We start from the raw sequence: 27387 nt of genomic DNA on the forward strand, positions 1-27387 counted from the left end.
TTCTGGGAGGTTGTAACCTTTCAAGTCCCACATTCTGGAGAAGGGGGAAAGCCTCCACCCAGTTGGGTTCGACCATCCATCACAGCCTTCTGAGTCGTTTGGAGTTCAGCCTTCTGCAGATCTGGATCTGTTCTGCGGCTACAGAAGGCATTTGCATTTCTAGCACGGGCTTCCTGGCCTCCCTCCCTCCCACCCCCAGCAAGGGGGACTCACAGAGCTCTGGCCTAGTTGCATAAATGCTGGCATCTCCTTTTCGACTCCTCTCCTGGGTGTTTCCTTTTTATTTACTATTCTCTCCAATTTTGTGCCATCAGCACTTCACAGCGGTGCCGTGTCCCTCTTTTTGGAGCAGTTTAGAATGATTAAGGACAAGTAGTGGCCCGCTGGCCCCATTGTGTCTAGGCAGGCCCAAGGTAGATCGATGCGGACAAGGAGGGGAGGGGTGGACGGACGGCAAGCCTGCAACAGTGGCTGTGAGCCTGCTGTGAGTCAGTGCAGAGCCCAGCCCATTGGGCTGCCCTCTGCATCCCCGATGGGACACAGCCCAGGAATCTGTGCATGGATGGTTCTAGCCCGAGGCCTGGAGTGGGCTCCCTGGCTGCTGTGGCAGGGTCACGATCGAGGGTGCTGCTGGCCTCTCTTCCTGCTCACTCAACCCGACTCCTCTCCCCTTCCTTTCTGGAGTCACCCCAGCAACATCCAGATGTCCTCTGCAGCGCCCCACCTGGGTCTCTTGCACATCTTGACCACGTTTGGGTTTACTGATTAGCTCATTGGCATGCACTGGCCTTGCTGAGAGTCAGGCTGTGAAGAAAGGCAGCCTTTATGGAGGGTGAAGGTCGGCACTGCCTTGACACCAGCCAGCAAATGTCCTGCACCTCAGCCTGGCCTCCCCTCTGCTGCCATCTGCCCGGCCACCCAAGCCACATCTCTGCCTCTCCCCTCCCCTCCTCTCCCACCTCTGCCAAGTCCTGGGGATTCTGTCCTCTTAAGTCCTCTCTATTTCATCCACCTTCCCCACGCCCACTGCTACTGCCTTCCCTTGAGTCACCATCACCTGTGACCTGGCAGTAGCCCCCTTATTCTCCTGCTTTTTTCAATTTCATCCATTTTCACCCCCCACTGCCCCAAGAGCCATTGTATTAGTTGTCCTGTTGCTGCTATAGCAAATTACCATAAACTTTGTGGCTCAAAGCAACACAGATGTCTTCTCCTATGGTCATGGAGGTCAGAAGCCCAAAATGAGGCTTCTGGGGCTAAAGTCAAAGTGGCAGCAGAGCTGGCTCCTTTTGGAGGCTCCAGGGGAAACCCTTCCTTGCCTCTTCCAGCTTCTAGAGGCTGCTGGCATTCCTTGGCTTGTGGGTGCACCACTCCATTCTCTTCTTCCATCATCACGTTGCCTTCTCTCTGACTTCTGACCCTCCTGTGTCCCTATTTTTTTTTTTTTAAAGAAACAGGATCTTGCTCTGTTGCCCAGGCTGGAGTGTAGTGGCACAATCACGGCTCACTGCAGTCCTGAATTCCTGGGCACAAACCACCCTCCCGCCTCAACCTCCCGAGTAGTTGGGACAACAGATGTGTGCAACATGCCTGGCTAATTTTTTATTTTTTGTAGACATGGGGTCTTGCTATTCTGAAGCGATTCTACCACCTCCCAAAGTACTGAGATCATGGGTGTGAGCCACGGTGCCTGGCTCTGTGTCCCTCTTATAAGCACGCTTGTGATTACCTTGGGCCTACTCAGATAATACAGGATAATCTTCCCATCTCAAGATCCTGAATTGATCACATCTGCAGAGTCTCTTCTGCCATGTAAGGTGACACGAGTTCCGGAGATTAGTTCATCATTGGGGTGCCATTACTCAGCCTGTCACAGCCATTTTCCAAAATACTCGCTACTTCTCTCATTAGAAATCTATGATGGTTCTCAGTGGCTTATGATCAAAGTTTAATGCTGACCGTCAAAATGGATTGAGCATTTGCCACATGCATCTGTGACAGTGGGTGAGGTGGTATGAGCTCATGTGTTCCCTGGATGCTGACCACGTCAAAATCTGGGAGCCATTTCAGGGCTTAGCCTGGTGTATTCCCAGCATGTTAGCACCTTTGCACACAAGTCAGAATCCCCCAGAACAGCCTTAAACGCCTTGCCCTCCTTGTTTCCACCTCATCTCCTCATGCATCCCAGGTCCAGCCCTGCCAAGCCACTTGCCGCCTCCCAAAACCCAGATCCTTGCTCTTTGACTCTCGCAGCATCTCTCGCAGTGTCTGGCACACAGCAGTCAGTAGGTGCTCAATAGATGCTTGTTGAATGGCTGGTTGAAAGACAGAAGAAATGGACAAATGAATAAAAGGAGTAAGGAGGACCAGCTTACCTGGCTAAGCCCTGAAAGGGCTCCTAGATTTGTACATGGTCAGCATCCAGGATCACATTGTCTGACACCATCTCATGCACCATAACATATGCTGCCAGTTCCCCAGCATGTCCTTGGCCATCCCCTGTATCTTTCTGCCTTGGATGTCCTGCCCTGGATGTCCTCGGGCCCCTGGAGCATGTTCAGCCTCACCTGGGAAGGCTCAAAGTATTGGGAAGTTAACACCCCAGGAGCACCCCTCCACCAATGAAGGATGCGAGTTAAGGAATAAACATCCCAGCATCCGCACCCTCACCTCCTTGGTGGGACAGTTCTGAGGGGTGCTCCACAGCCTCTCAGAGGGTCCCAGCAAGACTGAGCCCCAATACTGATAGTGGTAACCTTCTCATTAAAGCATCCTTGATTAGCTCTCTGCTCTTTCTCTTGCACTCCCCACTCCCTTGCTGTGCCTTCCAGATCAAAAACTTACAACCAAATCCCTGCCCCAGGGTTTGCTATTGGGGAAAGTCCAAACTAAAATTCCACACACTGTGAAGAGGCAAAATCCAATTAAAATAGTAAAGTCTAACATTTATTGAGCGTCTGCTCGGTGCCAGGCACCGTGATAGGCCAGCAGCACTCGTCATGTCACTTAATCCTCACAGCATCCCAGTGAGGTGGGTGCTGCTATCATTCCTCTTCTACAGATGAAAAAATGGAGGCCGAGAGAGGCGATGAGGTTTGTTCAAAGGCACGTAGCTGCCATATTGCTTCACCAAGCTGCCAGTCTAAGCATCTAGGGCAGGTAGGGGAGGAAGGTCCAGGGGAAAGAGAGGGAGAGAGGAAAGGAAGCATCCTTAAATTAGGAGGACTTGTTCTGTGAGGTGAGTGTGAAGGTTGGGGCTTGTTTCTCTGGCTTAACGCACAGAAAGTGCTGGGCTTCTGTTAGCAGCAGCTGGCAGGCATCCATTCTCTCCTTGTCTGCTCTGCTTCTGAGTTGAGTCAGTTCTGTTCCAGCTTGGGCAGAGCCTGCGAAATGGGTAGGACCAACTGCCAAGCTGACCCTTGGCTATAGCTGTCCCAGGGCTTGCATATAGGTAGCCCACTATATCTTTTGCCTCTGAGCTTGAGATGAAAAGCCACACTGCCATCAGCCTGGAAAACTGGTCGACCACACTTCTCCACCCCTGTCAATTTAAAATTTTCATTTTCTTTCCTGCTCAGCTCTCTTCACTGGGATGTAGGGAAATCGAGTGTGCAGTGAGTCACAGCTGTCACATTTGCTCACCTGAGCCAAATGGTTCCTCCCACTATGGGCTGGGCTCTTGGGCATTTGTCCTCACCTGCCAGGTTCGAATTGCAAGGTCAGCTGCACAGAAGCTGCTGATTCTTGAAAGTCTACTAGCTGCCAGTGGGTGAATGGTGGGTTCTGAGAGGTTTGACTCAATGGATTCGTTTTCTCCAGGGCTCTGCACACAAGATAGTCTGCTTTATGAATGCGTAGCTCTGGTTTTAATTCACAGATATGCATGGTCCAAATGAGCCATAATACAGAAAAAACAATGTTAACCTGTCAGTGTTCTGTGGATAGGCTTTGCAATGTCTGACATTGGTATCCATTGCGGATGTGACCTTTTGAGATACAAGAGTGGCTGTAACAAGCATAGCAGGCAGCACTTGAGACAGACTTTGCAGCCTTACCTCTTGTAAACATTGCATCAACTTATTTTTAAATAGCATGTTTTATGTTCTAATTATTTACTAATAAGCATGAAGAACAGATACCACAAACACCAAGATAATCACCTTTGGTATTTGTGTGTGAACCTTTCTGGTCTGTTTTCTATGCTTAAAGCTATAATTTACAAATTCATATTATGCTATGCATACTGTTTGTATTGTTCTTTTTTCAGTTGGTAGTATATCATGACCTCTTTCTTGCAATAAGTATTATTCACCTAAAATATGATTTTAAAATACTGTCTTATATTCCATCTCTCTCCTAGAAAAATCATAATGTATTTACCCAGTCCCCTTTTGTTGGACATTTAGATTGTTACTGCTTTTGTGCTTTTATAAATAGCATCATGTTGAATATTTTTGAACATGACATTTGCCCAGGCATCGCAGATTACTTTCTGAAGACATTTCTAGGTGTGCAACTACTGGATTAAAATGTGTGAAAAACACCTTTGCTTTTGATGTTTGTTGTTTCAGTCTTACTCTTGAAAATTCTGTACAATTTATACTCTAATAATCAGTGTTTAAGAATACTCATTTTCCCACACTCTTGGCTTTCAAGGTTGACTATCACCACACCTACATATAATCATGATTTGGGCCCCTTCTTTCTAATAGTTGTCTTTCATTTATCCATCTGTCTATCCATCCGTCCGTCCATCCCTTTCTCAATGTATTGGCTGTACCTTCCAGAATAGTGTTAAAAAATAATGGCGATACGTCCCTATTTCTTGTGCCTGACTTTAGTGGAAATATCTCTAGTGTTTCACCAGTAAGTATGATGTTGATTATTAGAGAGATGTTCCCATAATATTAATGTGTTGTGCTCTTCATTTTTTAAATATTAAAGCAGATTATGAAATACCTTCTGTCATATTCAAAGATAATTGCTCATCTCCTTTGATCAGTATGATTGAACTATAGTATTAATTTCCTAATATTAACCACTTTTTATTATTAGAACAAACTCTTCTTAGTCAACACTTACAATTTTTAAAACACACCACTGCATATGATTTAAAGATTATGTTTACTTTATAAAATAAATGGAAATCTTTCTGGCTCTCTATTCACAGAAATACTCATCAGAAACATGAGAACAGGCACATGTTTGTGCTTTTTCCAAGTATTTCTAGTAAATGCATCAGGGTCTTGTGTGACCTGGATGAATCTAAGGTGAAGCCTGTTAGACCCAGGTGGGGGTTATGATTCTGTGCTGAGAAAAGGTCTCATTCAATTTGATTTCTGTTCTTGTTAAATGCTTACTAGTCAGTGGCAAAATACAAATGAAAACACTAATTCCATTCCATGAGCAGGCTTGGCCTAGCCACCTCTGCACTCCCAGGAGGTCTGATACATAGTAGGTACTTTAAAAAGTCAATCCAGGCCAGGCATGGTGCCTCACACCTGTAATCCCAGCACTTTGGGAGGCCAAGGCAGGCAGATCATGAGGTCAGGAGTTCGAGACCAGCCTGGCCAACATGGTGAAACCCTGTCTCTACCAAAAATACAAAAATTAGCCGGGCGTGGTGGCGCATGTCTGTAATCCCAGCTACTCAGGAGGCTGAGGCAGGAGAATTGCTTAAACCTGGGCGGCGGAGGTTGCAGTGAGCCGAGATTGCACCATTGCACTCCAGCCTGGCCAACAAGAGCAAGACTCTGTCCCCACTACCCGCCCCCGCACCCGCCCCCAAAAAAAGTTAATCCAAAGAACTGCAAACTGTGACTTTTGTGGGGTGGGGGCAGCATGTATGTTAATCAGGGCCATGTGGCCAAATACATCCCTAGCATAGGGTAAATGTACCTAATAGCAGTAACTTTAGCATACCCTGAGGATGACCCTGTATGGCAGATGCACCTGAATGTGTGTTCCCAGCTAGGGAATCCGGGAGTGGCTAACTCGGAGATTTCTTCCTTGTCTGTAAGGAACATCTGAGGCCCCGGCCTGGCCCATGGAACATGGGCCGTCCAGGGAATTGAGGCCCTGAGTTTGGAGGGGGTTAAATGAAGTTTGCAGGTGGAGGTCATTAAGGGGAGGGTGTTAAGTAAAAATGCTTTATTTACTGCATGCTGTTTGCAAGAGGTTGCAGTTTTTCTGCCCAGCAGACTGCTGCTTGGCTATGTGGTTATGTTGTCCAGCCCACAGCCACAGGGCCATTTCTGTGTATAAGGAGGTTTTCCTGTCTAACCCTATTGAGGTTAATATGGGTTTGGCACAACACAGAGCGTGTATGACCTCCCTCCACCCACTTCTTCCTTCCTGGTGTAGCCAGGTGATACTGACAGTGGAAAGCCCTAAAGGTCAAAGGTTACTCTGAGGCCTGAGGACACTGATGGAATTGGGAGAGAAGGAAAGAGGGAAATGGATTATGAGCTGATTTTGTGTAAAGACACTGTGGTACATTTTTACCTCTCCAGGTCACCATAAAGTTATTGAGTCCTCAGTGAGACAGGCCTGTCAGCTCCTTCGAAGAAACCAACCTCCCTTCTCTACCTTAGGGATGCCCTGGCTTTCCTGAAGTCTTCTTTGAGGACCTACTAAGTGTTTAGAGCTGGTTCCCAGTGCACTGAAAGTAGCAGATATGGGCCATTTTTTCATTTGACAAATATTTATGGTGGTGCCAGTGCCTAGCTTCATGGCTTGGGACAGAGGAGGTGTCTAATAAGAGATGTTGAGAGGATGAATGGATGGGAGTTTACTCTGATTCAGGCCATGGGCAAGTGAACAACAGTGCAGGTCAAGAAGAACAAGAAGAATGTGTTTCTCTAAGTGTGTACTATGGGGAAGTTGCTAAAAATGCAAATTCCTGGTCTCCGTACAGACTTCCAGTGTCAGAATCTGTATAGGAGAGGCTCAGTTATAGACATTTTATAACAAGCTCCCCCCGAGGTTCTAAGGCACGTTTCAATTTGAGACCTATGCTCTGGTTGATCATTCTTAACGAGATTGTGTTGTGAAAAGCTTCCTTCTCCACAGCCCACTCATTAACAAGCACACACCTATTTGCCTGCTTCTTCTTCACGGCAGGGCAGGGTTAACACATTCAAGACAAGAAGAGTGGCCGGGCGCGGTGGCTCACGCCTGTAATCCCAGCACTTTGGGAGGCCGAGGCGGGTGGATCTTGAGGTCAGGAGATCGAGACCATCCTGGCTAACAAGGTGAAACCCCGTCTCTACTAAAAATACAAAAAAAAAAATTAGCCGGGCGCGGTGGCGGGCGCCTGTAGTCCCAGCTACTCGGGAGGCTGAGGCAGGAGAATGGCGTGAACCCGGGAAGCGGAGCTTGCAGTGAGCCGAGATTGCGCCACTGCAGTCCGCAGTCCGGCCTGGGCGACAGAGCGAGACTCCGTCTCAAAAAAAAAAAAAAAAAAAAAAAAAAAAGACAAGAAGAGCAGAGGGAGGAGGCAAGGGGGTTTGTTGGATTTATTCAAACCATAAAGATGAGTTATAATTTGGAATTGTAATTACCCAAGCAGCTATTGGGAAAAGAGTAGAGCATGACATGGGCGTTCCAGAGCTTGCAGAGCTTGACAAGCAAGGTGGCCCTGGGAACAGAAGAACCACTGAGGAAGGAGCAGCCCCCATGGGAAGGGAAGTGGATTTGCTGAGTGCCACTCTGCGTGTGTCAGGTATGTTCTCCTCTCTGCATCCTCACAACAGCCTTCAGCAGGGTAGGCCATTGTCTTAGGTTGGTTTTGCCCCAGAAGCAGAATCTAAGCAAAGATGTAAGCTCTAGAATTATGTGGGAGGTGATGGTAGAGGAGTGGGGAAGTGAGTCAAGAAAACTAAGATAGCCAATAAAGGGGTGCTAGCAAGCCAGCTGTCTTACTCTGTTCTGGCCGCTATAACAAAGTACCATTGACTAGGTGGCTTATAAACAACAGAAACCTGTGTTACACAGTAATGGAGGCTGGAAGTCCAAGATCAGGGATCAGTCGGGTTCTAGCCAGGGCCCTCTTCTAGGTTTCAGCCTGCCAACTTCTTGTCCTGCCCTCACATGGTGGAAGAGCTAAAGAGCTCTCTGGGGTCCATTTTATGGGGACACTCATCTCATTCATGAGGGCTCCATCCTCATGACCTGATCATCTGCTAAAGGCTCCATCTCCTCACACCATCACATTGTGGGTTAGAATTTCAACCTGTGGAATTTGCAGGACACAGGCATATTTGAACACTGACCACCATGGGTGACTGAAGCTTATTCTCACGAGGGAAACTGGTAGCCAGTGTAGAACACATGTCTCAGAGTTATCCCACCTGTAGGGCAAGACAGCTGGGATATGTATACACCAGCTTCCATCAGTCTATGGTTGGGAGCTGCCCCTAGCAGGCACACAAAGTGGGCTCTGGTGGCACAAGAAGGCTGATAGGTAAAGAAATGCAGGTGCTGGCAGTAGGAGGTCAGCTGGCATGCACTGAAGTGGTAAGTCAAGGGCATGTGGGCGAGACACCCACAGCGTCTGCTACAGCCTTTCTCTGTGAGCCCTTGAGGGAGGACTTTTGTCTTGTTCTTTACATTCATAGCAATCATCACATACTCAGATGCTCCATCGAAATAGTGAAAGCAAACCTAGGAGCTACAAGCTAACTATAATTCAATGTCTGAGAACTATATCTGCATTAAGAATAAAGGCTGGGCTGAGCGCAGTGGCTGACAGCCTGTAATCCCAGCACTTTGGGAGGCTGAGGCGGGAGGATTGCTTGAGTCCAAGACTTTGAGACCAGTCTGGGCAATGAAGTGAGACCCCGTCTCTACAAAAAAATTAAAAAATTAGCAGGTCATGGTGGTGTTCACCTGTGGTCCCAGCTACTTGAGAGGCTGAGGTGGGAGGATCGCTTGAGCTCAGGAAGTGGAGGTTGCAATGAGCCAAGATTGCACCACTGTACTCCAGCCTGGGTGACAGAGCAAGACCCTGTTGTCTTGGGAAAAAAAAAAAACAACAACAACAAAACAGATTAAAGGCCGATAGGCACATGGAGGAGACAATAATTAATTCTTCCAAGGGAGGGTAGCGTAGGAGGTGGCCAGTTGCCTCTTGGGTATTAACAGCATCATCCCTAGGCAGTCACCTTGTCCCTCATGCACTCATTGTCCTGGCTTTAATTTTGGAGCAGTTTATGCTTAGCTGAGGTTTCTTTTTTGAAACTGAACTGCATCAGTGCTACAAAAACAAACCAAAACCAGCCTTGCAGAACATTAATTAAACATACATGCCTCTGAGTTCTCCTCCAATTGTTGCTGCTCTGTGGGCACATGTGTTTATGGAAATAGAATCAGTGCGTACCCACCATTTCTCTTGCAGCTTACGCTGACACTGAGTACGCACATTCCCAGCCCTGACTTTAATCCACACACTGTAGGAGGAGCCCTTCAGAGGCATTCAGAGGGTTAGGGAAGCAGTGCACTGAGAACACCTTTTACTCAGCACTCTCTCCCACCTGTCACTCTCTGTGGCTTCAAGGTTTTTGTTGCTTTGACCATACTTAACATATTTTGAAATGATCTTTATTCATTCATCTACTTGTTGACAATCTTGCTTCTCTGCTCTGGGATGAAGGTACTGTAAGGACAGAGGACTTCTCTGCCTTGTTTGGCATCTGTCTCATGCAGTTGGTGCAGGGCCTGGCACACAGTAGGTGCTAGGTAACTATTTGTTGAATGAATGAATGAGTACACATATACGATATAAGAGGGTCATTATTTTTTCCCTGAGCTGATACCCCTTGCTTAGCTAGTCTCCTATGTAGAAGCATTTGGCATGTTTCCAACTTTCCCTTGCTTTAAATGGTGCTCTCTATACAGGATATTTTGTTCTTCCTTATTACTTCCTTGGGATGTAATTCCTGAAGTGGAATTACAGGACCAGAGGGCCTATCCCTGTTTTATCCAGTAGAACTTTCTGCACTGATGGTAATGTTCTGTATCTGTGCTGTCCAACACAGCAGCTATTAGCCACGTGTGGCTGTTAATACTTGAAATGGGGCAAGTGTGCCTGAGAAATTGAATTTTTAATTTTTTAAAATTTTGAATAATTTAAGTAGCCATGCCTGACTAGTGGGTGCCATATTGCACACTGCAGCTATACACCATTTTAAACCCTTGCTCTGCATTTCCAGGGCACCCTCCTCAAAAATAGAACCCACTGGCTGTGCCACCAGCACAGCCCACGTGTACCCAGTTCCCTACATCTGCCAACAAGGAGTTTTTATGATTCTTCCTAAGCCATGGCAGAAGGGTTGGGGACATTGTCATGTTCCTGCATTCTGGAGGCACCTACTGAAGACTCTCCAAGGGGTCAGATGTGCTAGGAGGGAGAATTCAGGAATGACCCGCCATCCCGGTCGCATGCAGCTTATTGACCGGTCTCTGTGTTCCTTCTGGGAATCAGGTGACAGATGCCTAAGAGGCCTAATCAACCCATGCTGGGAGTGACAAGCTGGGCTTGGGGATATGCATGTGAGTGCAGTGAACTCTGGGGCTGTGTTTTCTATACCACTAATGTAGTCATGTGGTCAAAGGAGGATTTGGAGCCACTTCTGTGGGAGGCAGGCAGTCAGGGGTATGGCTGCCATTTTGGAATTTCTGGAATGTTCTAAGGATGTGAGGATTTCACATGGCAACATATGCAAGCCTGCGAGTGACTCAGCATCCAGAATGGTTATCCTGCTTGCTATAACCTGCCAGATCCAACACATTCAGGACTTAAAGGAATGTGGCCCTTGTGGGCACAGTATCCAGAGGGTGAGCGAGTTTCTCTGTGTATATTTTCCCAGCGCATGGTGGGACTTCTGCCAGCTCTGCTTATTAGCGCACAGCCGAGCACCTAGCATGTCATAGGTGCTTTATAAATCTTTGTGGAACACATACCCCCAAAGTATGTGCAACTATTATAGATCAGTAAGAAAAAAAATGTGGAGAAGTTCTATGGTGTTTGATATTTTGTGGGGGTCCTGGTCTCATTTGAGAGCCTGATGAAAGCTATGGACACTTTCTCCCCGCTTCTGCATCCCCCCCCGCCGCACCTGCCCCAAAATGCTTGAGTGCCCAGTCATGCAGAATTTTACCTCTGATTTCAGGAGTAGAAGAGTCATCCTTGAACTCCTAGGGGCCCATGGGTTCTTCTTGAGAAAGCCTGGGCTGTGGATGGGTGTGTTCCATAGCTTAATGTCCTCTGATGATGTGGGTCCATTTCCCGTGGCTGTTGTAACACATGACCACAAACTCAGTGGCTTAAAACAACAGAAATGTATTCCAACATACACAGTTCCAGAGGTCAGAAGCTCAAAGTCAAGGTGTCAGCAAGGCAGCACCCATTCCAGAGGTTCCAGGAGAGCATCCAGTTCTTTGCCTCTTTCAGCTTCTGGGGCCACTGGCATTGCTCCAGTTTCTGCCTCCATGGTCACACTGCCTCCTCTCTTGTCTCTCAAATCTCCCTCTGCTTTTCTTTTTCTTTTTTCTTTTTTTTTTTTTGAGATGGAGTCTCACTCTGTCACCCAGGCTGGAGTACAGTGGCGTGATCTTGGCTCACTGCAACCTCCGCCTCCTGGGTTCAAGAGATTCTCCTACTTCAGCCTCCCTAGTAGCTGGGATTACAGGTGTATGCCACCACATCTAGCTAATTTTTGTATTTGTTTTTTAGTAAAGACGGGGTTTCACCATGTTGGCCAGGCTGGTCTCAAACTCTTGACCTCGGGTGCTCCACCTGCCTTAGCCTCCCAAAGTGCTGGAATCACGGGTGTGAGCCACCACACCCGGCCGGAGCCATCATGCCCAGCCTGCTTTTCTTTTACAAAGATAATTGCCATTGGATTTGGGCCCCACCTGGGTAATCTCAAAATCTTTAATTTAATTAATTATATCCACAAAGACCCTCTCCCAGAATAAGGTCACATTCACACATTCTGGGGATTAGGATGTGGACATATTGTTTTTCGAGGCCACCCTTCAACCTATTATAGTGGGTATTGGGGGGTGGGGGTGGTTTGCCTTTTCTTGACCTTGACTCACCTTCAAACAGCTCTTGATCAGAGCTGCTAAGTCTCAACAAGAGAGACTGATTTGCATTTTGCCTGTTTTTCTCTGGCCTCAGTCGGTCTCTCCTGAGGATATTCTCTAATGGGGAGACCATCTGAAGGTGATCCAGAGACCCTGAGCGGGGCCCAGATCAGCTCTAAGATGATACAACCAGGCGCCGAGGCATCGAGTCACCCCTGTGTCTCTGATCCTGCCCTGGGTTACAGTCACTGTGAACTCTCTATGTGATGTTCTTTTCTGGAAATGAGAAGGACTGAGTGGGGAGGGGGTTTCACACTGCACCCTTTTTTCATGCATTGACAGATAGTGGGAGAGATCACCTATAAGCCATTCTACTGAGAATGGATAGTTTGCAAGTCATGCGTTTTCAGGCCACAGAAACAAGTTTGCCTTTCAAAAATGGTCTTCCATCCACTTGCAGAAGCTTGCGGGATGGATTCTTTTAGGTGGCATGTGGTGTTTAATTCTGGTGGAGCTGTGTGTGAATACAGCCCGTTGCCTGCTTTGCTGCTCTCTGAGCCTACCAGAAACCTGTGTGCTGCAGCCTCAGGAGGCGTTAGAATATTCTTTACATGTTCCATACCTTATCCTCAGGAAATGCAAGTATCTGTGCTTTCTGGAAACGCATCTTCCGGCAGATAAAAGACATCAGCCATCTGAAAACTTCTCCCTTTCTCTTCTTAACCAATAAATTGCTGTTGTTGCCCTCACTCCCCCTCTCAGGTTCTTGGAGCCATTCAATTTAACGTCCCCAAAGTTTGCGCTGAAGATGCGATGCAAGGACGCGTTAGCACCAAATCCTTCTTAGCAATTATGCTGATGGAAAAAAAAATTCTAGTTTCAGAAGGCTACAGCTGCTTGTCTCTTGGGGGGAAGTTGCTCCAGGTGCAATAAATTTTAATGCCAAGCAATTACATGACCATTCAAAAAATTATTATTTAATATCTCTTTAGCTGAAGAAAACACTCCTGCTTGTGCCAATATTAGGCAATTAGCAAATGGTAATGTGTTCTGCAAACATAAGGCTTCACCCCTTTTATTTTATTATTCTGGTTGTTAACAGCCATGGAAGTGTGGCTACCATTTGTCTCTTGAAGAACAAACAGTTTGTCTGTTGCTTGAACGTAAAGACAGTCACCCACACACATGAAGTGCTAATAATCACGCGTCTTTAATGGTGCTGTAATTTGCAGATAACAGCACTTCAGTTGTCTGCTTTTTTTTTCTTCTTCTAGAATTTAACCTTAGCCAGACATGCCTGGCTTAACGATAAGGTTGGCCATTCGGTTTGACTGGACCTGGGTCTGAACTTTAGCTGTGGGTGTGTTTGGAATAGGAAGGAAGCACTCAGACCAATCAGCTCCTCACTTCTTGACTCAGTCCTCTTGCTCCAGGGCAGGCATCTACAGGTCAGAAATCTCACCTCTACCTGGCTTGGTTGCTGCCTGGAATTCACAGGCCACCCATTCCCTTATAGTGAGCCTGTGTGGATGCCGAGCCCATCTGTGGGGTGGGGCTCCAGTGTATCTTGGGAACCACACAGGTAGGGCTGAGGCTCCACCTAATGACCCCACCTCTCCTTCCCCCTGCCCTTCTCAGCTTCCCTCTTTTCTCCCGGCCCAGCACAGAGACCTCCTCCCTGTCCCTCCTTTCACTCTGACCTCTATGGTTCATCTGCACACAGTAACCAGAACGGGCTTTTTCTTTTAGTGATTGACATATGAAAAGCTGTATGTATGTAACATATACATCTCAATGAGTTTGGGGATAAGGATGTACCTGTGAAATCATTACCACCATCAAGGCCACAAACATACCCATCCCCTCTCAAAGTTTCCTCCCACTTCCTTCATTATTGTTTCTATTGGGTTTTGTTTTGTTTTGTTGCATCCTTAAAATTTGCTAAAAGAGTGAGCTTTTTAAATGTCAACCTGCTGGTATTAATTCCCTGCTGCTTTACTCATCAGTGGCTTCCCATTGTGCCTAGAATAAAATATAAATATCTACATGTGACTTGTTTGATGGCTTGATATTTAGCTGGTATTCATTAGCAAGGCTATACTGGTTATTAGAAGTCTTGTCTGGTTCATTACCTGGGAACACCTCCCCCCGCCGCTCCTTACAATCCAGCAGGGAAGGGTTCACCCCTGACACATGTGGGCCTGAAGCCCACTTCATCACTGCGGTCAGCATCCACCCTGAGCCTGTGTGGGTCCGTGACATAGACTGCCTGGCTTGTAAGGCTTACAAGGTTCTGTGGGTTCTGTGTCATCTGCTTCCCTCTCCAGGTTCACACCTTGGTGTCCTCCACACAGCCACAGGGACCTTCTTTCAGTTTCCCAGACACCCCAAGCTCACGCCGACTTCCCAGGGCATCTGCCCGTGCTTCTGCTTCTGCCTGGAAGGTTCTAACCTCCAAGCCCTTCTCAGGGCTGACCCTTCTCGTCCTTCCTGCTTCAGAAGGGCACCTGCCTCCTCAGAGAAGCCTTTCTTACCCTGCCTCTTTGCTAGGGCCCCTCCCTTATTCTCTCTCTCGGCTCTTTCTTTATTTCATTCATAGAAGTGAGCCCAGCCTTGATTAGTTGTTTGTTTGTTCACGCGTTTTGATGCACTGTTCCCCCTGAGAATGCATGCTTCCCCAGACCTGGAACCGAGCCTGTGATGGTCCCATTTCAACTCCCCAGCTGCCTAATACAGCACCAGGAACCTACGTGTCACATGGTAATTATTCTGGGATGGAAGAAGGAAAGAAGGGAGGCAGGGAAATGGAAGGGAGGCAGGGAAATGAAAGAGAAGAAGAAAAAGTGAAAGTGAGTGGAAGGGGCGAGGCCCACCCATGTGACAATAAAGATAACAGCTGCATGAATGACTGCCTGGGCCAAGGGCATGAAATATATAATCTTTACATTCTCACAATAATCTTAGCAAGTTTGTAGCGTTTCTCCCATTTTATAGATGAGGAATATGAGGCTCCAGCTGGAAGTGACTTGCTCAGATCACACAGGTAGGCAGAGTTGAGGTTAGGGTTCAGTCCTCAACGTCAGCCGACTAGTTGAAATGCCCGAGCCTGGTGCTGGAGGAGGCAGACCCAGCCTCAGCTTCAGTGGGGTTGGTGGGCCTGTGATTCTCGAAATCTTAGAGTGCCTAAGAATTACCTGGGGGTCACGTGGCCACACGCACGCACATATTCATTGCAGCACTATTCACACTAGCAAAGACATGGAATCAACCCAAATGCCCATCAATGATAGACTGGATAAAGAAAATGAGGTACATATACACCATGGAATACTATGCAGCCACAAAAAGGAATGAGATCATGTGCTTTGCAGGGACATGGAAGGAGCTGGAAGCCATTATCCTTAGCAAACTAACACAGGAACAGAAAACCAAACACTGCATGTCCTCACTTATAAGTGGGAGCTGAAGAATGAGAACACATCGACACAAGGAGGGGATCAACACATACTGGGGCCTATTGGGAGATGTGGTGTGGGGAGGAGAGCATCAGGAAAAATAGCTAATGCATGCTGGGCTTAATACCTAGGTGATGGGTTGATAGGTGTAGCAAACCACCGTGGCACACGTTTACCTGTGGAACAAACCTGCACATTCTGCATATGTACCCCAGAACTTAAAATAAAAATTAAAACTTAAAAAAAAAAGTTACCTGGGGGGTCCAGACACAGTGGCTCACACCTAAAATCCTAGCACTTTGGGATACCAAGGTAGGAGGATCACTTGAGCCCAGCAGTTCAAGACCAGCCTGGGCAATATAGTGAGAACTTGTCTCTACAAAAAAAAAAAAAAAAATAGCAGGGTGTGGTGGTGTGCATCTACAGTCTCAGCTACTTGGGAGGCTGAAGTGGGAAGATTGCTTGAGCCCTGGAGGTTGAGGCTGCAGTGAGCCATGATCACACCACTATACTTCAGCCTAGGTGACAGAGTTAGACCCTGTCTCAGAGAAAAGAAAAAGGAAAAAGGAAAAAAAAAGTGTCATCTGGTATCTGGGGTATGTGCTTAGAATGCAGAATTCTGATTTCATTCCCAGAGACGCGATTTTAGTAAGTCTGGCACGCAGCCCTGGAATCAATGTTTTTTAAACACCCTAGGTCTACACTGTGAGAAACACTTTCATTTTCTTATTCTTCAGGGCAGCGACGAGTCTCTGCATTTCCGGGGCCTAGCACAGGGTGCATGGCTGGCACTCAGTAAACGTTAGCTAAATGTATAGATGAGTGAGTGAGTGGATGAATGTTTTTACTTTGGATCTTTTTTTCAATTAAGCAAGAAGTTTTCAGAGTAATTCGGGTCCTATTAGAATTTTAATAGAGTATAGGCTCAAATAACTTTCCTCCTTTCAAGGATATAACCTAATTTGTGTCTGACAAGTAGAGAAGATTGTAGATTTCGTTTCCTTTTTTGCCTGTTGGAAACCGAACATTTTTTCGTTTGTTTAATTGTGTACCACAAAATGTGGAAGATTGATGTCTCTGGATAACATTTATTTGGCAGAATATCTTGACATCGGATGGCTTTTCCTCACCAGGCTCCAAAATGTTAGGAAACAGAGATGTAAGTAAAGAGGCTTGTGGGGCTCTTTCCTTTCCTCCATTTTTCCTTTCTTTCCCTTCCAGTTAGTAATGGTTCCAGGATTAGTGGTAAGGGACTTCTGAAAAGCTTAAAGCATGAAAATCCTGTTAGATAATTGTGCTTCCTGGAGGCCCAGGGGGACTCTTAAGTAAGGAGCTTCGAGGAGGAAAGGGGGTTGTGGGGAGACTTGGCCTGCTTGCCTCCTGGAATCTTCTTTCCCAGACTTGGTGTGCTCCATTCCCAGGGCAGCTGTCTTAGTCCACTCAGACTGCTGTAACAAAATAGCATAAACTGGGTGGCTTAGAAACAATGTTTATTTCTCACAATTCTGAAGTCCAGGATCAAGGCACCAGCAGATTCAGTGTCTGGTGAAGGCCGGCTTCCTGGTCCATAGAGCGCACCTTCTTGCTGTGTCCCCTATGGTGCAAGGGGCAAGGGGTCTCTTTCAGTCCTATTTTATAACAGCACTAATCCCCTTCATGAGGGCTCCATCCTCATGACCTAATTACCTCCCAAAGGGCCCCATCTCCTAACACCATCATTTTGGAGTTAGGATTTCAACATAGGAATTTGGGGAGGACATGACATTTATAGCATAGCAGCAGCCATGTTCTATTAAAAATCTATAAGGGAGTGGGATGCATTTGCTCAGAAGGAATTGAAGAGAATGAAATGGCGCGGCCTTTTTTTTTTTAGCTTTTTTAAAAGCAAAGGGGCCAGGACCAGTTGCTCACGGCTGTAATCCCAGCACTTTGGGGCGGTCCCTAAGGGAGGCTGACAGCTGAGGCAGCACAGCCTGCTGCTGGATAGGTACCTCCTTTGTTTTGAAGGCGACCTTGGTAGCACATGACTTTGTCCACCAGACCTGAAAGAGGGGAGGAGAGCAAGCCAGGTGGACTTGTGAAGGAAGAGTGTTCCAAGCAGAGAGAACAGCAAGTGCAAAGGCCCTGAGGTAGGCATGTGGCAGGAGTTTAAAGAACAGCAGGGACAGCAGTATGGCAGAGTAAATGTGGGGAGGGGAATAGGAGATGCAGTCAGAGAAGTGTTAAAGTCTGGATTGCAAAGAGTCTGTAGTGCCTTGGAAAGAACTTTGGCTTTTCTCTCTGAGCGTCGTGTTGGGAATAGATGCTCAGCATCTAAGGCCCACGTTCATAATCTAAGCTATAGTCTGTGCCAATAGGTCTGAGAGGAGGTGGTGGAGACCCCAACAGGGCAGAGAGCACAGCGTGGGGAGCCTGGTCGGGACACTGGATGGCTGCATCCAGTCTCCTGCCCTCGGAAAGGACTGACTCTTGATGTCACTGTGAAATGTGGGTGCTCCACCAGGTGTTGAGACAGACTCAAGACCAAAGGCCCTGTGAACCCTTGCCTTACAGACAGGGTCACCTAGATGAGGATGGGGAGCAGGTAGAAACCCAGAGATGAACACAGAGCCTCAGCTTCGAGTCTCCAGACCTGGAAAGGAACGGAACCTCCCCCACCTTGCAGTTCTGGCCACTAGAGAGTGGGTAGAATGGCCAGCCACAGCCTGATTGGCTCAGGAACCCTGGAATTTGAGATAAGAAGGCTGGCGGAAGGTCAGGGTCCTGCAGAGAGAAGCTGGGACAGCAGAGCATGGCGATGAGGTGTGCTGCCAGTCCCCCACCCAGGGTTTCTCTTCACTCTTCACTTTCTACAGCATAGCCGAGGGGCTTAGCTTTCTAAACTGTACATTGGCATATAAGTTAGAACCCAGGCTACACAGAGAAGGGGCAATGAAACAAGCCACAGTCCATTGACCACCCACTGTATGGCAGGCCTGGCTAGGCCTGTTAGGGACACTGGCCTGTTTTAACCCTATGACCAGCACCTAACTGTGCTCAGTGGCCAGCCCAGTGGCTATTAGCATAGACTAGATGCTGAAAAAAGATCGTCAAATTTATGAATAAATAAATAAACAAATGAAGAGAATGCTCTCCAAGGTAGATCTGTTATTAGTCCTGTTTTATGTATGAGAAAACTGAGATCAAGGGAAGTTGGTAACTTGCTGTAGAAACCACACATGAGCAGTCATAAGGGAGGTGGAGTCCCAAACCCAGGTCTGCTCGAGATGAAATTAACCATGTCTTCAAAATCCATACTTATTGATGTGCCCCAAGATGTTTGGCAAATGAATAAACTTCAAAAATACGCACTCAACCTTTTGGATAAAAGGGAGATTTTATCGGCAGTGTGGAAATGGGATTTGTTTCTAACGGGGCAGTTAAGGTCAGGCCCCCCGTGAGGCCTAGGGAGGTGCTGAAGTGTGAATGAGAGGGAGCAAAGCCTCCTCAGAGGCTGGGAGGGTAGGGGGACCACAGAGTGCTCCAGAGAGAAGGAAGACTGACAGGCCTGTGATATGCGGCGGGGCCAGTCAGGAGAGGTCCACGTGGAGCTGGCTGAGGCAGGGCTGCAGACCTAGAAATCAGCATCGCTGACCGCTTTGCCTCTGATCGTGGCTCTCCCCCCAGCCTGGGGCCCCATCTTCCTTAAATTAGCTCCGCTGCTGCTGATAATTGCACAGCTGAAGCTCAGGTCTCTATGCAGATCTTTCAGTGGACAGGTATTGATTGTCATCATGTGTCAAGTCTAATCCTACTAGCTCTGGCTGTCAACCCACAAGCACTTAGCAAAACCTCCATCCCAAGGCACTAAGCTAGGCCCTGAGAATTCAAGGATATAAATAAGACAGTTCCTTGGCCTCAAGCAGTTTACAGTCTAAATTCATTCACTGAATAGGCATTTATTGCACACCTACCATATGCCAGGCACACCACATGAGCCACTGAAGGTATGAAAATGAGTAATGCGGAAATAGCGCCCACAAGAAACTCATAAATTAGCATTTATTCACTGGTTTATTCACTTTTTAAACAGCTATTGAGCACTCCTGTGAGCCATGCTGAGGAGTGGTGCCCAGGGAGTGGGTGCCCAGAGACACCTCTAATGTATTAATACAAACAGCACTGACAGAAGAAGGAGAGCTCAGGGCATCTCAGAGAAGAGAACACTGAAAGTTTCAGCAAAGAGAGATGGATGGTTTATAGGCTTTTTGTTGCTGCTGTAACAAATGATCACAAGTTTATTATTTTACAGTTCTGGAGGTCAGAAGCCCTAAAATCGAGGTGTCAGTAGAAAGTCAGCTGCACTTCTTCTGGAGGCTTACAGGAGAATCCACCTCCTTGTCTTTTTGAACGTATAAAGGCCACTTAGATTCCTTGGCTTATGGCCTCTTCCTCCATCTTTAAGGCCAGTAGCAAACATCTCCAAATCTCCCTCTCCCCTCTCCCCTCTCCCCTCTCCCCTCTCCCCTCTCCCTGTCTTCCCATCTCCTCTGTCTCTGACCCTCTTGTCTCCCTTTTATAGAGACCCTTGTAATTACATTGGCCCATCTAGATAATCCAGAATAATCTCCCCATCTCAACGTTCTCAACCTAATCACATCTGCAACCCCCTTTTGCCCTGTAAGGTCACACATTCACAGGCTCTGGGAATTCGAGTGTAGCATCTTTAGGGGGCCCTTATTCTGTCTACTACAGTGGGAAGGCACTGAGGCAGGGGAAACTGCTTCAGTGAAGGTATAGTAAACACGGCGCTGAGTGCATGGGAAAGAGCAGGAGCCTTCCAGATCTCCTAGATGATGTGGGCTTCTAGAGAGGAGTGGCTGGGAGTTAGTCTGGGTAGAACAAGGCCAGCAGCTTGTTCCAAAGCTACCATGTCAGGTACCAGTCATGCTGTCTTTACTCGAATGGCATGTTTATTTGTGGTGGCTTGTTGAAGGGGGTGATGGTTTAGAGACTGGGAGGGCCTAACTCCATGCTGATGGGGAGGGGGACCAGGCACATTTTTGGTCAGGTTTTATAAATTACAGAGATTGAAAATTCAGTGTGCCCTGCAGTGTTGGGAAGTCAAACAGCAACACACTTAAGGACCAGGGTCACTTTCTCCCCTGTGTCCCTCATGTAGAGCAAGGAAGCAAGCCCTATGTGACCAAAAGGAGCTCGGAGCAGCTCTTGGATATGTCCTGGGGTCAGCAGAGCTTCAGCCCAGGGTCTAGCCGCATCTGCATCCATCCCCAGAGTGACTAATGCCAGCAAAGTCCTTAATCCTGGAGAAAAGAATCATTACAGTGGATTATCTGGTAGACACAGGTTGACACAAAGAGGCGGGACTCAAATTCTGAAGACTGTACCCAGATCCCAGCTGTCTTGCTGGCATGCTGTGTGGCTCTGGGCAAGTCACTTAATGTCTCTGAGCTTCAGTTTTCTCATCTGGAAAGTGTGGATAATAATTTCTGCTCTAGAGGGCTAGTAGAAAGATTGAATGATGCTTTCCAGATAAGAATGTTATAATTTTAAAAGGGTGGGATTTTAAAAAGGATATTCTCATTCTTTGAAAGGTTATCACCCACTCAGGATCTCATAGCCCCTCTCAATTAACCAGGACACTTTTCCAGAGCAGTCGGTTCCAGAACACTGTGGGGGACCAGAGAGTGCAGTTCCAGGCATCTGCTCACTGACAAAATAAAACAGGCGGAGGCCATGAGGTTGACTTTTTTTTTCTTTTTTTGAGATGGAGTTTTCACTCTTGTTGCCCAGGCTGGAGTGCAATGGAGCAATCTTGGCTCAATGCAACCTCCACCTCCCAGGTTCAAGCGATTTTCTTGCCTCAGCCTCCCAAGTAGCTGGGATTACAGGCATGTGCCACCATGCCAGGCTAATTTTTTATATTTAGTAGAGACGGGGTTTCAACATGTTGGTCAGGCTAGTCTCAAACTCCTGACCTCAGGTGATCCACCCACCTCGGCCTCCCAAAATGCTAGGATTACAGGCTTGAGCTACCTTGCCTGGCTGATTGACTTTTTAAACCTCCTGTCCCCCTTCCAGCCCTGCCTGGTTTTTCATGTTGATGGTTACCTGAGAATCCAGATCCGCCAAACCCACACCCCAAGCTGGTGGTTGGGAGATGCAGGCAGTGAGAAAGTGAAACGTGTTCTTGCCTGCAACTGGGATGTTTCAAGCAGCTTTGCCAAATTTGAAATTCAAATAGCTGCAGTGCTTCCCAGCGCTGTATTAGTTTTTGCAATTACCAGGTAGAAAAACCTACGACAGAGCTCACAGGTCAACCCATGTAATGGTTTTCTCCATGTGAATTATGGAGCCCACCCTTCCCTGCTTTGCTAAGAGAGAAATCAGAGGTGCCAAGAACAGCCTCTTCATGAAGACCTCCTGCAAGCTAAATACATAATTTTGAAATTGCTTAGAAAGAACTTGAGCTTCAACCTCTGAGCTCCCTCCGGGTCAGCCCTGCAGTATTAGGCCCGAGGGGTCCCAGGAGCCCTTGCGGCTCAGGGTGTTTTACTCTCCTTCCAAATGTTTACGAAGGAGTTGCATGGGCTGAGATGCTAAGCTGGGCCAAGCATGGGCTAAAGACTTTTCCATAATTGTCTTAAGTGAATGTCAGAGCAACCTTGTGAAAGTAAGTTCTGTAATCCCCATTTTAGAGATTAGAAGAATGAGGCCCAGATGGAAGCGGGAATTAGACTGATCTGAGTTGATCAGATGATCAATTGATCATCTCCCAAACCAGGCTCCATCATTTAAGATAGGATTGCTTTGGTTTATTCACCTGCAAAAATGAGGATCTTTCAAGGACTTTAAAGGATGTTGGGAGGAGTAAGTTAAGGTGTGTAATTATGGTGGGTACTCCCAGAGCGGTAGCTGTGTTGAGTTGTGTTGATTGAGTTGCTTGAGTCTCACATCCAGGGTTGGAAGCCTTTGTCTTTGACCACTAATTCCATGCTCTGCCCACAGGGGGCCCCATTCAGAGCCTGAGCTCTGACACTGACTCCAGCCACTGAAAATGATGCCCAGAAAGAATGGAAGGCAGTTCCCAAATAAATGAGAAGAGACAAGAATAAAAATAATTTAAACTTAAAGTAAAACTCTAAACCAAGCCCAAGGCATGGTGTGCAAAGCACCCAGCATCAGCTACATCCAGGAAGAGCATCTAAGCCAGGACAGAACCTGTATGTTCTTTCTTTCTTTCTTTCTTTCTTTTTTTTTTTTGAGGTGCAGTCTCAGCTCTGTCACCCAGGCTGGAGTGCAGTGGCACAATCTTGGCTCACTGCAAACTCCACCACCCAGGTTCAAGCAATTCTCCTGCCTCAGCCTCCCAAGTAGCTGGGACTACAGGCACCCACCACACCTGGCCTCAGGTGGTCCGCCCGCCTCGTCCTCCCAAAGTGCTGGGATTATGGGCGTGAGCCACCACACCTGGCCCCAGAGCCTCTACTCATTGTGGGGCTCAGGACTGTACAGAGTAGTGCTTGGTGATGAGTTCTTTAATGACTGAATGAATGAATGAACCGAAGCAGCATCTGGAAAAGCATGAATGCAGGTGCAGTTCTGACAAGTAAGGGGCAGGAGGAAGCATAAAAGAGAGGCTTGGCTGGAGCCAGGTGCCTGGGGCCATGCTTATGTGGCCACTTGTTAATCGTGTGGCCTTAGGTGAGGCAGCCATGTGCCTGGGCCCTTGGGTTTCCCACTTGTAAAATTGCAGCACTGGGGCAGGGTACACTGCAGAGCCTATAGCCAGCTGGGCTCCAGGAAGCCCAGGTAACATCAGAAGGTGCTATTGGGACTTCTCTTCTCTGCAGATGGGATGGCTCTTCTTCATGCTGGTCTATTTCTTATGTTCGTGAACAGGCTGGGCATGCTCAGATGAAGCAGACCTCCCAGCATCTAAACTGGCTGTGTCAACATCATACACTCAGATAGCACATGGGACAAGTAACCAATGGATGTCCCAAAATGTAGAACTCTAAGCTCTTGCTTCTCCTTTCACTGCCTAAATTTTTCTTCCTGGCTCAGGAGGCTCTGAGCTTCAGGAGGAAGGTTCCCCTGCCCCCATCTTCAGCTGTTTTGGAATCCCTCCAAGAATCATACTGTGTTGGCCACCGAGCAAAATAGCATCAACAGTTACAGACTGTCTGAGTACCCTTAGCCATATTACTTAATTTTTCAGACCTCTGTTCTTGCATTTAGAAATGGGTAATGAAGTACCCACTTTTTTTTTAAGAGATGGGGTCTCACTGTTTGGTTCAGGCTGAAGTGCAGTGGTGTGGTCATAGCTTACTGTAACCTTGAATTCCTGGGCTCAAACCTCCCACCTCAGCCTCCCAAGTAGCTTGGACCACAGGCCTACACCACCACACTGGCTAATTTTTTTTTTCATAGAGACAGAGTCTCACTTTGTTTCATCACTCGTCTTGAACTCCTGGCTTCAAGCAATCCTCCTGCCTCTGCCTCCCAAAGTGCTGGAATTACAGGCATGAGCCATTGTGCCTGGCTGATGTACCCACTTCTGATGGAAAGACATGAGGCTTAACTGAGATAATGAGTTTAGCACAGTGCCTGGTATGCAGTAGGTGCTCAAGGAATGCCAGTGCTCTTCTTTTAATAAAACTTTGCTGTCCCAACGATTAATGTGTGGTAGCTGGAACTCTGAGTAATGAACAGCTCACAGAGACTGGTAGGAAATGATTTGAGGCATTTCTTGGTGGTTACTTGTCTTGTTCTTTCTTATGACTTTTTTCTCCCTTTTTTAAAAAAATCATTTTCTTCTCTTCCCTTAACAGGATGGAGGGAAGTTCTAACTATGCCTCTGGGTTGATATTGTAGGGGCAAGGGAAAGCTTCCCCTTCAAACTTGGAAGTTCTGCTAAACATCAGCTCAAAAAGGCAAACTAAATGGAGAAGAGAAGTACAAATATATTTGATCATAGTTTTAGATGACACGGGAGCCTTCAGAATGAAGACTCCATCCCTCGATGGAGTGCAGAAGCTTCTATACCACCTTGGGGTTGCAGAAAGAATGGGGGCTTGGGTCCTGGCAACACAGGTTATGGGAGGAGGGAGAAGAGAAATTCGATTGAGGGAAATACACGATTATTAGGGAGGATTCAGTGGGCTTGAGGGGCATTCAGTGGTCTAGGACAAGGTCTGTCTGTTGCCCATAAAGTGGACAGTGGTTTGTGACAAAAGTCTGTCCAGGTTTGTCGACAAACTCTAATCCTCCTTCCTGTGATATGCGTTCAGTTCATGAAAGCCCAGGGAGGGAACTAGAGGTCACTGGTTTCTCTGGTTAGTCTGGTCTTTAGGCAAATAAGGCAACTTCAGCCCCTGCTTTGGGAGAGGTGGAGGACTGAGAGGCAGGAGGGGGAGGGGAGGAAAAACACTTGTTCTCCTTTGCGGGTCTCTCTGGGTCTTTATGTAGATGGGGGAAGTCTCTTCTGGCATGTGTTGATCTCTAAGAGCCTTTAATTCAACATACTCATTATAGTAGGAAGCCATATTTTGGGATGAAGTTCTCTGTGCTCCTTCAATATGTGTTTTTTTTTTTAAATGCATGTGAAGTATTTCTAAAGATTCTCAAGTCAAGGAATTCAGCATTAGAAACGGTGCCCTTTTGCAGCACATACGAATTCCGTACGGTGGCCCCTGTGATATTATGCAACTGCCATGTACAGCACGTTTTGCTTTGATAGGTTTGAAAGAAGTGACATTAAAGAGAGAAGAATATGGCACCATAGAGGATGGATTTTCTTACTCTCTCTCACTCATGACTTAATCTGAGATGAGATTGGTTCACTTTGATAGCTCTTTTCAACCTCTTCTTTGCAAAAGGCGAGGTGGAAACCTCATTTCTCTCTTGGCTAGATGCTGCAACTCCAAAGGTGAATCTGTATGGAGAATGTTGAAGGCAGTGTTTTCTGAGACACCCTGCAACCCTCTGCTGCGTTACGCAGTACTGAGCCCTCCAGAGAGGTGCATGTAATGGATGGATGTGCTCCCTGGAGTTAATAAATAACTATCTTCACCTGGTCCCCTCTAATTCATCCTGTGCACAAGCGCCAGAACACGCCATCAAAAACAGACCATGTCTCACTTAAAATTCTCTGGAGGTTTCCCACTGACCTCGCGGTAAAGTCTGAGCTCCTTAGCATGGCAGGCAAGGCCATTGGAATCTTACCCCTGCCTGGTTCCCCACCTGTGTCCCTCACTGCTTTCTCCACCCCCACCTTTCCTTCCCCCCAGTTTTCCTGAACAGGCAGCTGAACTCACAAGCTCTTCCCTACCTCCCAGTTTTACATAGTCTCTCTGCTAGGATGCTTCTCCCCTTTCTGTTTAACTCCCGTTTGCCCTTTGAGACACATTGGAGAATATAACAGTAATAATACTATAACAATCGCTAACAGGTGTTGAGTGTTGTTTACTGCATACCAACCAGTGAGCTAAGTCTGTTATGTACACTCACACCTGTGCAATAGTCACAGCCAAGCTGAGTGGGAAGCACTGTTATTATTAATCCCATCCTTCATCCCCCATTTTGCTAAAGATGTGCCTCTTTTGAGCTTCTGGAGCAGGTATAGACTGGACCATGATTGTTGATTTACTTCTCTGCCTCTTGCACTAAACTGTGAGCTTGTTCATTCATTCATTCGGTCAGCAATTATTGAGCACTGACTATGTGCCAGACACTGTGTTCAATGCTAGGGATAAGATAGGCATAAGAGTGACCCAGACAGATGAAAAGATCTCTGCCCATATGAATTTTTTTTTTTTTTTTTTTTTTTTGAGACGGAGTCTCACTCTGTCGCCCAGGCTGGAGTGAGTGGCGCGGTCTCCGCTCACTGCAAGCTCTGCCTCCTGGGTTCACGCCATTCTCCTGCCTCAGCGTCCTGAGTAGCTGGGACACAGGCGCCCACCACCACGCCCGGCTAATTTTTTGTATTTTTAGTAGAGACGGGGTTTCACTGTGTTAGCCAGGATGGTCTCGATCTCCTGACTTCGTGATCCGCCTGCCTCGGCCTCCCAAAGTGCTGGGATTACAGGCTTGAGCCACCGCGCCCGGCCATGAAACTTACAGTGTCTAGGGGTAAGCCACGGAGGGGAGAGTCTTAAAAATTTAGAAAATCAGGCCAGGCGCAGTGGCTCACACCTGTAATCCCGGGCCAAGGGGGGTGGATCACCTGAGGTCAGGAGTTCGTGATCAGCCTGGCCAACATGATGAAACCCTGTCTGTAGTAAAAATACAAAAAAATTAGTCAGCGTGGTGGCAGGCACTTGTAATCCCAGCTACTCGGGAGGCTGAGGCAGGAGAATCATTCGAACCCGGGAGGTGGAGGTTGCAGTGAGCCAAGATCGTGCCACTGCACTCCAGCCTGGGCAACAAGAGTGAAACTCCATCTCAAAAACAAAAACAAGTAAACAACAACAACAAAAATTTAGAAAACCACATCACTAAAACAATTACAAGTTGTAACAAGTGATGGGCAAAATCAAAACAAGATGTGATACAGAATAATGGGGTGGGGCTGAGACGCCTTTTGACAGGGTGGTCAGGGAAGGCCTCCCTGAAGTTGTGACATTTCTGGTGAGGACAAAAGGTAGAGAAAGGGTCAGCTATGGAACAGCAGAGGGAAAGGTCTAGGGAATCGCATGTGTAAGGACTGTCAGGCAGGAACGAGCTTACGGTACTTAAGGAACCAAGGGGAGGCCAGGCTGGCTGGATAATCAGGAGTTGGGGGAGAGCAGCATAAGATGAGGCCAGGGACCAGTCCTGAGGTTGGAGGCCAAGGTGAGGA

At 47.3% G+C, this 27387-nt stretch overlaps 1 protein-coding gene across 6 annotated transcripts in view, besides 2 other annotated features; it reads left to right on the forward strand.

Moving 5' to 3' along the window:
* Positions 1-27387, forward strand: part of ABTB3 (ankyrin repeat and BTB domain containing 3) — a 341209-nt gene that overhangs the window by 107416 nt on the left and 206406 nt on the right. The gene's annotated exons all lie outside the window — the stretch shown is intronic.
* Positions 10309-10809: an enhancer, noted in NCBI's record as "H3K27ac hESC enhancer chr12:107829935-107830435 (GRCh37/hg19 assembly coordinates)". NCBI's record gives its function as "activates a minimal SCP1, AML or CMV promoter by ChIP-STARR-seq in primed H9 embryonic stem cells {active_cell/tissue: H9 hESC(primed)}" and the evidence as "EXISTENCE:reporter gene assay evidence [ECO:0000049][PMID:30033119]".
* Positions 16221-16380: an enhancer, noted in NCBI's record as "active region_6952". NCBI's record gives its function as "activates an Ori minimal core promoter by ATAC-STARR-seq in GM12878 lymphoblastoid cells {active_cell/tissue: GM12878}" and the evidence as "EXISTENCE:reporter gene assay evidence [ECO:0000049][PMID:35858748]".

Source organism: Homo sapiens, chromosome 12, assembly GCF_000001405.40.
Source record: "Homo sapiens chromosome 12, GRCh38.p14 Primary Assembly".
NCBI classification, from domain to species: domain Eukaryota; kingdom Metazoa; phylum Chordata; class Mammalia; order Primates; family Hominidae; genus Homo; species Homo sapiens.